The sequence below is a fragment of the Homo sapiens genome, chromosome 5, assembly GCF_000001405.40.
Source record: "Homo sapiens chromosome 5, GRCh38.p14 Primary Assembly".
Lineage (NCBI taxonomy): Eukaryota > Metazoa > Chordata > Mammalia > Primates > Hominidae > Homo > Homo sapiens.
The window spans coordinates 172,041,683-172,056,572 of NC_000005.10; the positions used below are offsets into that span (position 1 = coordinate 172,041,683).

The 14,890-nt window shown below is 49.8% G+C and overlaps 1 protein-coding gene across 4 annotated transcripts in view, besides 3 other annotated features; it reads right to left on the reverse strand.

The window, feature by feature from the left end:
• Nucleotides 1–396: 396 nt before the first annotated feature.
• The window catches only part of STK10 (serine/threonine kinase 10), a 146,146-nt gene continuing 131,652 nt past the window's right edge, over nt 397–14,890 (reverse strand). For all 4 annotated transcript variants that reach the window (XM_047417629.1, XM_047417628.1, NM_005990.4 and 1 more), the window contains 4 exons: nt 13,906–14,094; nt 12,887–13,012; nt 11,247–11,360; nt 397–3,340 (listed from right to left, as the gene is read on the reverse strand). In XM_047417629.1, coding sequence (XP_047273585.1) covers nt 3,200–3,340; nt 11,247–11,360; nt 12,887–13,012; nt 13,906–14,094 — 570 coding nt within the window. In that variant the 3' untranslated portion in view covers nt 397–3,199. The remainder of the gene's footprint in view (nt 3,341–11,246; nt 11,361–12,886; nt 13,013–13,905; nt 14,095–14,890) is intronic.
• Nucleotides 12,646–13,473: an enhancer, noted in NCBI's record as "H3K27ac-H3K4me1 hESC enhancer chr5:171481332-171482159 (GRCh37/hg19 assembly coordinates)". NCBI's record gives its function as "activates a minimal SCP1, AML or CMV promoter by ChIP-STARR-seq in naive H9 embryonic stem cells {active_cell/tissue: H9 hESC(naive)}" and the evidence as "EXISTENCE:reporter gene assay evidence [ECO:0000049][PMID:30033119]".
• Nucleotides 13,495–13,996: an enhancer, noted in NCBI's record as "H3K4me1 hESC enhancer chr5:171482181-171482682 (GRCh37/hg19 assembly coordinates)". NCBI's record gives its function as "activates a minimal SCP1, AML or CMV promoter by ChIP-STARR-seq in naive H9 embryonic stem cells {active_cell/tissue: H9 hESC(naive)}" and the evidence as "EXISTENCE:reporter gene assay evidence [ECO:0000049][PMID:30033119]".
• Nucleotides 13,997–14,496: an enhancer, noted in NCBI's record as "H3K4me1 hESC enhancer chr5:171482683-171483182 (GRCh37/hg19 assembly coordinates)". NCBI's record gives its function as "activates a minimal SCP1, AML or CMV promoter by ChIP-STARR-seq in naive and primed H9 embryonic stem cells {active_cell/tissue: H9 hESC(naive and primed)}" and the evidence as "EXISTENCE:reporter gene assay evidence [ECO:0000049][PMID:30033119]".

Here is a 14,890-nt window from a genome sequence, read left to right on the forward strand (position 1 = left end):
GGTTACGGTGAACCATGATCATGCCACTGCACTCCAGCCTGGGTGATAGGGAGACCCTGTCTCTAAAAAAATAATAAATACATAAAATGGGAATGATGGTGTCTTCCTCCGATTGTTGAAAGGATTCAGTACATTAACAGGTGAAAACTTTTTGGGGTCAATGAATGTTTGTTGTTAAATGAGAATGATATTAAATGTCTGTAGAGAACATGCCCCATGACATGCTCTCTCTCAGCCAAGCATAATGTCTTTCCAAAGAGAAACCCGAAGTCTGAGCTGCCGTATGACCTGGGAGGCACCTGCGTACTTGGAAGATAAGCCCTTTCTTGCCGGGTGAGTATGGTTAAGTGTGCCCTGCTTTCCACCCCAATCCAAAAGAACAACCTGAACGGCAAATAACCTTGTTATTTTATTAGAAGCATATTTACATTCTTGTAGTTAACTTTCCAGAGAACATTTTACAAAAATTTTGTATAAAGTCTGGAAACTACATAAAAATAATTTCTATCTTTCATAAAGGGAAAATAAAAGTTAGTTACATTTACTCTAAAACCAGACAGAGGAAAAAAACCCAGTTCTGTCTGTCCCTTATACAGAAAGCACTAACACAGGGCACGAGGAATACCGCGTGGGCCTCTCAGAGATGGGCATTGCACGGTGGCTCCACGGTGAGGCTAGGTGACCCCGCCAGTCCCCATCCAGAAAAGCACAGGGGAGCTCTGAGGGCTCAGGCGGCACTGAGCGGGGACGCGGCAACTCCTTGAAGGGCAAAAGTGATGTGAAGGACGAGCCACGAGGGGAATGATCACAGACTTTCACCTGAACCATGAAACTGGCATTTCACCTAATACTTTCTCACACGCCAGGCTACACATGGAAATACTGTAAGCAAAGCCCAAAGCAGCCCTGTCTGGTGGTTCCCAACGCTGGCCTGGCCTGGTAGAACTGGGTCTATGTTCTGCAGTTACACTGCCGCTAGTTCATGTTTCCCCAGCACCAATGCACCAAAGAGAATAAAAGGAGACAATTGTTTCGCTTGTCTCATTTGTGAGAGACCTAAAAAACACCCCCATCTGGGTCAAATTCTGCAGCAGGCAAGCTAAATGCTCACTAACCTGAGAACCATTGCTAGCTCCAAGAGAATCTTGACTGTGCATTTAAGATTTGGGCAGTCCCCTTTTCCTGTTGAAGGGCTGCCCCTCCCTTCCCAAGCATTCAGTTATAACCAATGTTGAGAAAATTTCCAGGGAATTGCTTTAGAAAGACAGAGTATACAGAACCTTAACCTAGCTGGGTGCAGTAGCATGTATCTGTCGTCCCAGCTACTCAAGGTTGAAGCGGGAGAATCAGTTGAGCCACGAGTTTGAGATCAGCTTGGGCAACATATTAGAGACCCTGTCTCAAAGAATTTTTTTTTTTTTTTTTTTTGAGAGACAGAGTCTCGCCCTGTCACCTAGGCTGGAGTGCAGTGGTGTGACCTTGGCTTACTGCAACCTCTGCCTCCTGGGTTCAAGCGATTCTCCTGCCTCAGCCTCCCGAGTAGCTGGGATTATAGGCATGCACCACCACGCCTGGCTAATTTTTGTACTTTTAGTAGAGACAGGGTTTTGCCATGTTGGCCAGGCTAGTCTCGAACTCCTCACCTCAGGTGAGTCACCATGCCCGGCCTAAAAATAAAGAATCTTAAATCTGTAGGAGTGAAGGCGGAAAAAGTCCTCCCAGGAAGTCTCAACCACTCTACCACCAGCGAAACACTACCCAGACTCAATATGCCCGCATGATTACTCCAAATCATTACCAGTTTTGTGTTGTTGTTCTTGTTTGTTGTTTTAAAAAGCAGATATCTTCCTGGAGAAACCATACATTTTATAGTTGTTTCAATAAAATAATTAGAAATCAGGGTGAAAAAAGGTTTCCTTGTAAGTAAACCCGCATACTGGTTCAAACATTTGCTTTTATTGCGTTATATACATTCTGCAGCTGTAGAATCAGAATCTGGGGGAAGCCAACTGAGACCCCGAAGGCCCAGCAGGAGTCCATCTGAGGTACAGAACCTGTGCTTCTGCCATGTTCCTGGGGCAGGGGCATTCCATTTCCCCCTGATGCTTTTTCTTCCTGAAGAGAAGTCCAACAGACTGCCAGCCCAGGTCTGAAATGCAAGGTGGGACTCCTGAACACAGTCGGGGGGATGGGGCAGAGGCAAACAGCCCTCCTGTTTCACCTGCAGACAGGGTGGGCCAGAGTGCTATGGAGCAGACTGGGTTGTGGAAGCCTCGTGTGCTGAGGAATCAGTCCCTGCACACAGGAGCCTGTGCGGGGGCCAGCACGCATCGCAGCCTGGCAGTACAGCCTGTGCTTTTCCATGCCTCCGGTGCCAACACCCCGCACGTGCCACACCAACTGCTCCACCTAACATGCTCAGTGGCACAGGCTCAGGCAGCAAACGTGTTCCAACCCACCTGGGCAGAAGAGGCCAGGCCAGCAGACCAAGTCCTGTGTGTACGCGTATGTGTGTGCATTCACACCCATGTGCAGGAAGGGGGACGCGAGATGGCATGAAACACGGGAGAAGCAGAATAAACATTTCAGCCTCCCTCTTTCCCCGGTCCCCGCCCCCCACATAGACAAGGCTTTGTCTTAAGTGGAAAGCAAACTGGGAGAACAGGAGGAATGAGGCCATCTCCTGAGCAGCCAGCTGCAGGCCTGGCTCCTCTGGGAACAGAAATGGCTGTGAGGGACTTGATGATTGAGTGACTCTGCAGGGAATGGCTGAAAAACCAAGAATTCCAGCCCGGATGAGCCCACGGGGACTTCATCAGCAGTGCTTTGTCCCACAGAGAGCAAAACTGGTATTTTCGCAAACAGGAGAGGACTCGAGGCCACAGAACACCCATTCCTCTTGGACCCTGACCCCACCAACAGCCCCATCCCTTCCAGCTTGAAGGGATCTGGGGCTCAAGGAGAATATACATTAGGTTCAGGTGACAAATAATTACACCTCACCCTCCACAGGCCAGCAAGAAGTCAGGAACGCTGGGGCAGGTCTATCAGGCACAGTTGGGGTGGCACAGGGCGAGGGGCTGGATTTGAGCTGGCACAGACGCAAGAGGGAAAAGGGGTCCTGAGTTACATGTTCACAGAGAATGAAGGAGAAGGCCCTGGGGCCCACCAAGCTGCCAGCCACAGCCCCGGGCGGTTGTTAAGAAGCATCCGCAGAACTGTAGGGGAAGAACTTGGCGGCCTTGCTTGGGGTGGAGGGGTTTGGGCACTCCGCCTCCTCGCTCAGCTTGAAGAACATCTCCTGCTCCCGCTTCTTCTGGTTCAGATCCTCTTCCAGAGCCTAGGGAAGAGAGAGGATGGATGGCACTTGGTGAGATCTGCAGGCCACACGTGGGTCTCCCACTCACAGGACCCCCACTGACATGGCCTTCTCTGGAACATTCCCTTCCAGGCCTCAGTGCTTGAGAAACTACGGCTTCCCTATTTCCTACCCTAGAGCTCCTCCCACAGGAGGTAAGTACCACCTCCTGCCACCGCCACTCAGAAGCTCCCTGTGGACTGAAGGGTACAGTTGGGGGAAATGTCAATCTAGACGGGGCAGGGAGGAAAAAAAAGCAGATGCAAATCCCCTGGCAGGAAAACAGCCAAATGACTGGAGAAAAACCCGAGGGAGAAGATGGAGAGAGACTGAGCAGCAAAGGAAGCAGAGATGTCAGAAGTTTTTTTTTTCAAAATACACATGCCTGAGTTGAGATTGCGCCACTGCACTCCAACTTGGGCGACGGTGCGAGACTCCATCTCAAAAACAAAAACAAAAACAAAAACAAAATACACGTGCCTTTGCCTAAACCCAGAGGTTCGGATTTTGAAGATCTGTGGTGGGACCAAGGCCTTCTGTACTGTACAAACTCTTCAGGTAACTCAGAGGAGAGCTCTAGTTGAAAAGCACTGCGGGAGGTTCCCTTGGGCACAAGCAAGTTTATCTAGGTAAATTGGATCCTACCAGAAATATTTTTCTTTTTTTTGAGACAGAGTTTTGCTCTGTCGCCCAGGCTGGAGTGCAGTGGCACTATCTTGGCTCACTGCAAATTCAGCCTCACAGGTTCAAGTGATTCTCCTGACTCAGCCTCCCCAGTAGCTGGGATTACAGGCACCTGCCACCATGACTGGCTAATTTTTGTATTTTTAATAGAGAAGGGGTTTCATCGTGTTGGCCAGACTGGTCTCAAACTCCTGACTTCATGTGATCCACCCACCTTGGCCTCCCAAAGTGCTTGGATTACAGGCGTGAGCCACCGCGCCTGGCCTAGGATTTTCTAAAGAAACTGGAAATCAAGATTTTAATGTAAAATCTCCTTATATACTTAAAAGTGGACATCTTTTAAACAATTTACAGGCCAGGTGCGGTGTCTCAGCCTTGTAATCCCAGCACTTTGGGAGGCCAAGGCGGGCGGATCACCTGAGGTCAGGAGTTCAAGACCAGCCTGGCCAACAAGGCGAAACCCCATCTCTACTAAAAACACAAAAATTAGCCAGGTCTGGTAGTGTGTGCCTGTAATCCCAGCTACTTGGGAGGCTGAGGCAGGAGAATCACTTGAGGCGAGGTGGAAGTTGCAGTGAGCCGAGATCGTGCCACTGCACTCTAGCCTGGGTGACAGAGCAAGACTCTGTCTCAAAAAAAAAAAAAAAAATTTTTTTTACATCACTATGTTGGCCAAACATACCATGCCTGTAAGCCAATTCCAGCACATAGGCTATCAGTTTGGGACCTCTGCTCTAGGAATACCAACAATTTAATAATAATAGCTACTACTTTTTGAGCACAGAATGGTTTAGTAACTTGCCCAAGGTTTCACAACTAGTAATGGAGGAGTTAGGACTTCATCCCACCTGTGTGACTCCAAAGCCTGGGCTGTTTAAGCATTATTCTGTTCTACCCACCACATATATTTCTCAATACAACCTTCTTACGCCAGAGTCAGCGATCTTTTTTCTGTTATGTGACAGATAGTAAACATTTTTGGCTTTGCAGGACATATTTGGTCTCTATTGTGACTACTCAACTGCCACTGTAGTACAAAATCAGCCACAGACAATCTGTAAATGAACGAGCATGGCTGTGTTCCAATAAAACTTTATTTACAAATATAGGTGGTGGGCCAGATTAGGACATTGGCAGTGGTTTGCTAACACCTACTTTAAGGAAATAAATATTATCTACATTTTACAGCCCGAAAAGCCAGGGTTCAGGAGGGAAGATTTGACTTGTTTGAGGCCACATTCTGTGTGAACACTGACCCAAGCAACACTTCATTGACTCTACCAGATATTCCGTACTTACTCGAAATACATCTGAATTTTTCTAAAAATACTCCACAATGTACAATCATCTCCCTGCCTCCATACAAGGCAGGGGGTTCACAGGCTGCTGACCGTAATGCAAGAATGTAAAAGACCATTTATTCTCGAATGAAAATCATCACCTCCGGGTCATTGTTCCAGCAGAAACCCAAGCAGCTAATGACAGAAGAATTCTATAAAGAATTCTGCAAAGAGGCAGCCCCCACAGGCAAAGTCCAATGCTGGCTTCCCAACTGCACACTCGTGGTGCCTCCCCTGAGCCCAGGCCCCTCTTTGAAGCGATCTGAGACATAAGGCAATAGCTAGAGGAAACGCGATCATTCATTTTCAAACTCTCTCAGGATAGGCCAAGGGTATAGAACCCCCAGGTAAGAGAACCAGGTGGACGTTCATTTCCTGATTGCAGAACCAACCTATGTCAGCAGGAACATTATTGACTTGACTGTCAAGTATGGAAAGTCCCAGCAGACCATGGTTACAGAAACTGATGAGCGTGGGCCTAACAGGAAGTCTGGGATCTTGGCCAGCTTCCAGCCAGAAAGCTCCATGAGCGCAGGGAGGGAGGCCTCAATTCAAGGACTCCCAAGGCCATCACACAGCTGAGATGGGCAGTTGCCTCCTGTCCAGACCACAGTTACAGTAAGCAGAACTGATGTACGATGGCAGAACAAACCTCAGGACTTCAGGACCCGTGGGCATGAGATTAAGAGTAACTTGGGCAGTTCTCTCCTCAGAGAGTTTAGGGGAATGAGTATGTCCTTGGCCTGTACTATGTGCTGGCAACTTCTGACATAACCTTGCAGTATTGATAGCTTCACTGTACAAATAACCACACTGAGGTCCCATGTTTTTTGGGTTTTTTTTTTTTTTTTTTTTTGAGACGGAGTCTTGCTCTGTCACCCAGGCTGGGGTGCAGTGATGCGATCTTGGCTCACTGCAACCTCCGCCTCCCGGGTTCAAGCCATTCTCCTGCCTCAGCCCCCCATGTAGCTGGGATTACAGGCATGCGCCACTGTGCCCGACTGATTTCTGTGATGGTTAATTTTATGTGTCAGCTTGGCAAGGCCACGGTATCCACCTGTTTGGTCAAACACCAGCTAGATGTCACTATGAAGGTATTTTCTAGATGTGATTAGCATTTCAATCAGTAAACTCTGAGTAATGCAAATTACCCTTCATCATGTGGGTGGGCCTCAATCAGTTGAAGGCCTTCAGAGAAAACAAGAGAGAAGGAATTCTGCCTCTAGACAGCAACAACAACTGGGTCTCCAGCCTGCTGACCTGTCCTGCAGATTTCAGACTTACCAGCCCCCACAATCGTGTAAGCCAATTCCTTAAAATAACTAAATCAATTTCCCTCTCCCTCTCCCTACACACACACACACACACACACACACACACACACACACATCCTCTCTCTATCTTGGTTCTGTTTCTCTAGAGAATCCAGACTAATACGGCCCAGAGCGGGGAAGATGGCTTGCCCAAGATCCCAAAGCTGGTGACCAGCAAGAACGTCTAGAGTGCCAGCTAGAGAGGAAATGGACAAATTCCCCCAACCTCTGATACCATCCTAGTTCAAGATACCACCCTAGTCCAAGCTGCCATCATTAGTCACCAAGGCTATCACAATGGTTTCCTGACTGGTCTCTCTGCCTCCACTCTTGACCCCTGAGGGCAGCCAGCGGGATCCTTTTCAAAACATGAGTCAGACCACCTTGTCCTCTGCTCAGAACCCTCCAGTGGCTTCCATCTCACACAGAGTAAAAGCCAGACTTTACGCAGGCCCCCCACCCCTCTGACTTTACCTCCTATCACCTCCCACCGTCACCACCACTCTCTCCGGCCGCAGGGGTCTCCTTGTTTCACGAGCAAGGTGTCCGGGCCTTTGCAGTTGCTCTTCCCTGTGCTGGGAATGTCCCCCTGAAAACCCCCACGGCTGCACGCCTCCCTCCCTCAGGTCCTTCAGATCTTGGCTCAGATGTCATCTTCTTAGACGACATCTTCCTGCCACACCGTCTGAAGCAGCCTCACTTTGTGACCCCCCCATGCTGTTTCCCTCCCTGCTTCTTGGCCCCTTACTAGAAGGTCGGTTCTTCCGGAGGGCATGGACTTGTCCCTTTTGTTCAATGCAGTGTCTCTAGAGTCTGAAACAGCGTGGGGCACTTAGCAGGTGTTCAAGAAATATGTGTTGCATTAATACACAAACGAATGAACCATCAAGCTAACGATGACACACAAATGCAATCCCATGTGATAAACACCATGACAGGGGCAAGGACGGGGAGCCCAGAAGACACCATACAGCCTCCGTGGGGGAGGCCTGAATAATGCAGACAAACAGAAGTTGGCCAAGCAAAGGCTGGTGGGTAGAGAATTCCTGGCAAGGGGAACAGGCTGGGCAAAAGCCCAGCAGGGAACGAGGGAAGCGCATATGGCATGGAGATCTATTTGGGTACTGAAATCTGCTCAGAGCACAAGTCGGGGATGAGACTCACGGGAGATAAGGCAAGAACAGTAGTTCTCGAAGTGTGGTCCACGAACCCCTAGGGGGCCCAAAACGCTTTCTGGGGGTGGGGGAGGGGCAGCAAGCTCTAGTTTCCTGCTAAGACACAGTTTGCTTTTTCATTGTTTTGATATTGGTGCTAATGGTACAAAAGCAATGATGGGTAAAACTTCTGGAGCTTCTGGAGGATTAAGACAATGGCCCCTCCTAACTGAATGGGTATTCTTCACCACCGTGCACTCACATGTGTTTATTTTTATTTTTATTTTTTGAGATGGAGTTTCACTCTTTCGCCCAGGCTGGAGTGAAGTGGTGAGATCTTGGCTCACTGCAAACTCTGCCCGCCGGGTTCAAGTGATTCTCCTGCCTCAGCCGCCCAAGTATCTGGGATTACAGGCATGCACCACCATGTCTGGCTAATTTTTGTATTTTTAGTAGAGACTGGGTTTCGCCATGTTGGCCAGGCTGGTCTCGAACTCTTAACCTCAGGTGATCCACCCGCCTTGGCCTCCCAAAGTGCTGGGATTACAGGTGTGAGCCACCATGCCAGGCCCACTCATAGTATTTTAGAAAGTTTTTCAATTAAAACAATAAAGCCAATTGCACTTAAGATCACCTTGATGGTGCAACACAAATGGTTCATTTTATTAAATCCTGACCTTCAAGGTCACAGCCCTTTAACGTCCTGTGTGAGGAAATGAGAACTATGCATAAGGCCCGCCTGCTGCCGGTCAAAGCATGATGGCTGTCTAGAGATCCTGTTCTTGTGCCTGGTATTGTTCTTGTGCAATCATCTTGAGTTGTGGGCTGAACTCGCCACTTGATTCTGCAGAATATCATTTTGATTAAAAAACAACTCACAACTGGGCATGGTGGCATGTGTTATAGTTCCAGCTACTTGGGAGGCTGAGACAGGAGAACTGCTTGAGCCCAGGTAGTCGAAATGAGCCTGGGCAACATAGCAAGACCCCATTTCAAAAAAAAATTACTGACAAATATGGGTATTTAGCAAACACTCTCTTGAAAATGAACAAACTGAGCTGATCACGTCAAGGGAAACAAACTAAGGATATTTACTGCCAATGACAAAATTTGAGCATTCAAGCAAAAATGAGAACTTTGGAAAACCTGTGTCCACCAGCCTGAACTTGACAGCTTCTCAATTTTTTTTTTTTTTCTTTTTGCGAGGGTCTCAATCTGTCACCCAGGCGGGAGTGCAGTAGTGCAATCATGGCTCACTGCAGCCTTGACTTCCTGGCCTCAAGCGATCCTCCCATCTCAGGCTCCAGAGTATCTGGGACTACAGGCATGTGCCACTGTGCCCGGCTAATTTTTGTATTTTTTGTAGAGATGAGGTTTCACTGTGTTGCCCAGGCTGGTCTCGAACTCCTGGGTTCACACCTATAATCCCAGCACTTTAGGAGTGGTGGCGGGTGCCTGTAATCCCAGCTGCTCAGGAAGGTTGAGGCAGGAGAATCGCTTGAACCTGGGAGGTGGAGGTTGCAGTGAACCGAGATAGCGCCACTCCGTCTCAGGAAAAAAAAAAAAATCCGCTGGTCTTTCTCGCACTTGGATGTAACTTTGCTCCAGCCATGATCCTGTAACATCATGCATTGGTCACTTAGAAAATATTGGTTTACTGAGTTATGCAGATCTTCCAAAAGTTGACACATTTCATTATACAATATTTAAAAAAAATTATATCTCCACCAGGCACAGTGGTGCACACCTGTAGTCCCAGCTAGTCGGGAAGCTAAGGCAGGAGAATCACTTGAACCCAGGAGGCAGAGGTTGCAGAGAGCCACGTTCCCACGCCTGTAATCCCAGCACTTTGGGAGGCCGAGGGGGGCGGATCACTTGAGGTCAGGAGTTCAAGACCAGCCTGGACAACATGGTGAAACCCCGTCTCTACTAAAAATAGAAAAACTAGCCAGGCATAGTGGCATGTGCCTGTAATCCCAGCTATTCAGGAGGTTGAGGCAGGAAAATCATTTGAACCCAGGAGGCAGAGGTTGCAGTGAGCTGAGATGGCACCACCGCACTCCAGCCTTGGGCGAAAGAGTGAAACTGTCTCTAAAATAAAAAATAAAATAAAGAAATCAACAGATGGGTCACGAGGGACGTTGCAAAGGGGCTAGTGACAGAGAAGAAACCCAGCAGAAGGTGGGCCTAGGAGGACAAGGCAGGCGAGGAAGAGAGTGACTGGCAGCACTGGCTGCCACCAGGAGGTCAAGTCCAGCCAGCCGTATCCATGCGAGTCAGCCACCAGGATGTTGGTATTGACCATGCCAGCAGCGGCTGCAGTGGGCTGAGAAAGGAATTTCTCAGTGGGTGGAGGAAGAAATTGTGACAGGGCTTCGCAGAGAAAGAGAGAGACAGGGCAGTAAAGAAAGATGTGGGACTGAGCGAGGGCATGGGGTTTGAAGGTGAAAGTATGGCAGGCACCATTCAAAAATGACCCCTGTGACTCTCTCTCATATAACTCTCCCCGCTCCTCTGCGTGTGGGTGGAACCTCTGAATGTGGTATCATTCCTGCAAGCAGGGAGGCTATCCCGTGACCCTGATTTAATCACATGAGCACAAAAGGGTTTTCTCTAGCTGGTGGCAGAAAGGGATATCAGAGACATTCAAAGCACGAGGAGGTCTGAATGCATGCTGGCTATTTGAGGTGGAGGAGGCCACGTGATAAGGAGTGCCGGTGGCTTCTAGAAAATAACCCGTCTGAGGTCAGCAAGGAAACAGGGACCTCAGACCTACAGCCATAAGGAACTGGATTCTGTCGAAAGCTGAATGGGTTTGGAAGTGATTCTTCCCCAGAAACTTCAGCTAAGAGCCCAGCCACGCTGACAACGTTGATTGCAGCCTGGTGAGACCCTGAGCAGAGAACCCAGAGAGCCCACCCAGACTCTTGAACTCCATCACTAGGAGAGAGTAAACGGGCGTTGGTTTAAGCTGCTAAGTGTGTGGCAGTTCATCACACAGCAACAGAAAACTAAATTGGCAAGCAGTTTATCTTGTGCTGCGTTCTGACTCCTCAGAATAACTTCCTCTAAGAGAAAATCCCCACAGGCTGGGCTTCTGGCCCAGCAGCGTGGCTGGTTTGACTCACTGCAGCGTCCTCTGTGGACACATGGCAGGAGTCCTTCGGTCCATGAGAGGGAGCTAAACAAGAGGCTGCCCTTCCAGAGGTGGAAGCTGCAGGGCGTTCAGCCACAAAGGGTTAGAAAGTTCCCCTCTCTCTCAGGCTGGAGATCCATTTGATGGTGCCACAAAGCAAGAGTCCACCAAAATAAGGAGACCTAACATGTCCTGGCCAGAGGCCTGTGCATGGCACAGAGCAGAGCCCGAGACTGAGCCCACCAGCTCGGATAAAGTTACCTTCTTGCGCGGCCGAAGCTTGTCCCGCCATTCCTTCAGGTTCTGGTTATGGCTCTCATCCAGGGCCTTCAGTTTCTGGGTTTCGTGCTCTACCAGGAGGTGGCACTTTTCATTCTGGAACAGATTCCAGGCAGAACAGGTGAGAAATCAGAAGACGCAGGCCCTGAAGACTGAGACACACCTCACGCTGTGGCTACGAGGGCACCAGCATCGTTCATTTATTATTTCTTCTTGACTATAAATCCCATTTATTCAAACTCTATACGTAAATCACATGCACCAAGAAGTGCCTGGAGGAATAGTCCAGAATATGTTAATAGTTCTTATTAACTCTGTGGTGGGGAGGTATAGTAAATTTGCAACTTTCTGTGAGGATACAGCAAGAAGGCAGCTGTCCGCAAGCCAGGAAGGGAGCCCTCACCAGAACCCCACCCTGCTGGCACCCTGATCTCAGACTTCCAGCCTTCAGAACTGTGAGAAAGAAGTTTCTGTTAATTAAAGCATCATGGTTTGTTATGGCAGCCCGAGCTAAGATACTCTGTATGTCTCACATATAATTTCCTCAGGGAGATCTGTGGCAAGGAATGAGGGTCACTGACATGGGTGAGACTCTTCTAACCTCGCTGTTCTTTCTCTGAGGTAAGTTATCTGCTTTACAAAATGTAAATCTCTCTCATAGGCAGCAGTGACAAGTCCCTGTTGATTTCTTGCAGGGAATCAGTCTTGTCATGAGGAGCTTATAAAGCAGGGGGAAGTGCCTTTATCCAGATACCACGACCCTACTGGGTTGGAAAAGTAGAATCCTTTGGGAGATTTTCATTTTGGGTTTCATGCTAGAGGCTTCTGGGAGTTTAGAACTTGGCTGAGTGAGAAGTAATACTCGCAGCAGCGCTGCATGCCTGTGGCCTGCCAGGAGCTGTGCTCGGCACTTCATACGGGCTCTCTCAGTGCTCACACTGAGGCAGGGATCACCCGAGGCAGGGATAGGAAAACGGATGCGGAAGGTGAATGGCTTGGCCAAAAGTCACACAGTGGTAATCAGCAGAGCCGTGCCGGGCAGGCCTCAACACCTGGAATGTTTCCTCCATGCCTCCCCACCTCTCCAGAAATTGCCCGATGGGTCCAACAGCCTGAGCAGTTCCTGAGGTTCGAATCAGCCCCGTCCCCACAAGGGGGCTTCAAGTACCAGCTCCTGGGGCCAGGACCCTCAGGCATGGGGCAAACCCAGGGGCCAGGAAGCTTGAAGAGGTCAGGAATTACCACAGCAAAAGCAGCCCACAAGGGGCTCGGCCACACCCCAACCACCTTTGCCCAAAACACAGTGATGACTCAGAAACCCTGCAGCAGCCCACTGCCAGCTCCGTCACTTCATTCACAAGTCCTTGCCCCAATCCTGCACAGCAGGAATGGTCATCCCCATGCCCATTTTAGGGGTGTGAGAGCTATGGCTTAGGAGGGTGATATGATTTGCCCAACCTCACAGAGCCCTAGAGCAGCATGGCAGGGCTGGAAACCATCCATCCCGGGCGTGTCTGATGAAGATCCTTCCCTGCTGTGGAGTTTCTGGCCCCCTGAGATCTGATGGCCTTGGGGAAACTGAGGCAGCCTGGGGGCAGGGGCAGGGGCAGGCAGGGCGGTACCTGCAGCTGCTGCAGCTCGCTCATGTTGCTCTCACACTGCGCCAGCATGTCCCGCATCTGGTTCTCGTGTTTCTGCTGTTGCTGCAGCCGCTCCGACTTCTGCCTCTTCTCCTCCTGCTGGGAGAACTGCACCAGAGAGAGGGTGGGTGCCTCAGGGGACCAGGGCCTGGCTGGTTGGGTAGGGAGCCCCACTCAGCCCTGGCCCAGGGAGACCCCTCAGGGGGACTGGTCTGTGCACAGCCCCAGTACCCAGCACCACCTCAGGCTGTGCCCGTGTTAAGTCCTCACCCTGAGCTGAGACCCAGCCCCAGCCCTCGAGGAGCCCCCAGGCTGGTGGGGACATGACACTGCAATGTGACACACGCCAGGAAAGTGTGTGTAGCAGGCAGGAATCACAAGGGCCCGTGTGCCCGAGCCACAAGGGCAACACAGGATGTGGGGAAGCTGGCCAAATAAAAGTGTGGGAGTGCGGAAGGGAAGGGTGCAGGAGAATTGGCAACATAGCACCAAGCTCTACCTCTGTCCACACACAGAGGTGAATTCACCATGAGGCTGATGAAGCTTCCAGGGCACGCATGGTGACTCGCACACCCCCTCCCAAGACCTTATGGCGGGTGGGTCGGAGTGCATCTTTCTTTTTTGTTTTTTTAAGATGGAGTCTCGCTCTGTTGCCCAGGCTGGAGTGCAGTGGTTCAATCTTGGCTCACCGCAACCTCTGCCTCCCGGGCTCAAGCGATCCTCCCACCTCGGCCTTCCAAATAGCCACCACACCTGGCTAATATTTTTAAAAAATTATTTTTTTGTAGAGATGGGGTTTTGCTGTGTTGCCCAGGCTGGTCTCAAACTCCTGGGCTCAAGTGACCCGCCCGCCTCGGCCTCTCAAAGTGTTGGGATTACAGACGTGAGCCAGCCTGCATCTTGTTTCATATTCTCCAAAACTGTATAAGGCCCAGGTCCCGCCAAACCTGGCCCTGCCTACACCCCAGCACACTTGCAGACCCCGCAGGCCCGGCCCCCACCTGCTTGATCTTCTCACGCTGCTCAGCTGCGCTGCCCCCGCCGTTGATGTGGAGGCTCTTCTTGTACATGGCCATGCGCGTCTTGCCCTCACTCCTCTGGATCTTGGGCAGCCGCGCCTTTTCCTGTTGCTGCCGCACCTTCAGCTGCTCTATCATGCGCTGGTTGTAGCGCTGCATCTGCTCCCGCTCCTGGAGAGGAATATCCAGAGGGGCTGAGGGCAGCTGCACTCTGGACTCAGAGCGTGGTCACAGGCTAAAGGTCCCCACACTCCACTCAGGGGCCCAGGACCAACGCAGCCCACAATGTTCAGCAGATCAAGGCTGGTGTTATTTTGCTTCTACACTAATAACATTATTTGTTCTCACTTTAAAAATTCTTGTTAATAATATCTTGGATTCTTACCTTCTAAATGCCTTTTCATCTAATCAATGATGGCATGCCATCATTAGCTAATATCTCAAAGCAAAATGTACACGAAAGGGGATGGTTTACCATTAGTGATGGCAGATATGAACTTATATTTTAAAAAATCCTGATAGATTTGAATTTTTTCCTTCCCCTAACACCTATTTGTATTTCAAAGCTCAGCATGGGCATCACCTCCTCCAAGAAGCCTTCCCCGATTTCTTCACTTGGTTGGGTAGCCTTATTCTGAACTCCCATGGCCCTATACTGACTTCCATCACTGCATTTAGATAAGAAACTGGAATTATACACAGCTGCTGTGCATCCAGACCTTGGTCTGTCTGTCACTGTCCCACTATGGAGGCTGAACTGAGACAGACAATTCCCGCAGGAGAGGGTGCTTTGGCCACACAGAGTAGGGGCCCTCACCAGCTCTGGGGAGTTCAGGGAAGGCTTCCCAGCAGAGGTGGTGTTTAAGTGGAGACCTAAAAGTATTGAGGGAATGCACAAGAAAGAGAGAAATAAAGACAAAATGGAAAGGGAGGACAAAAAGAGGGAAAAGAGAAAAAAGAGCAAAAG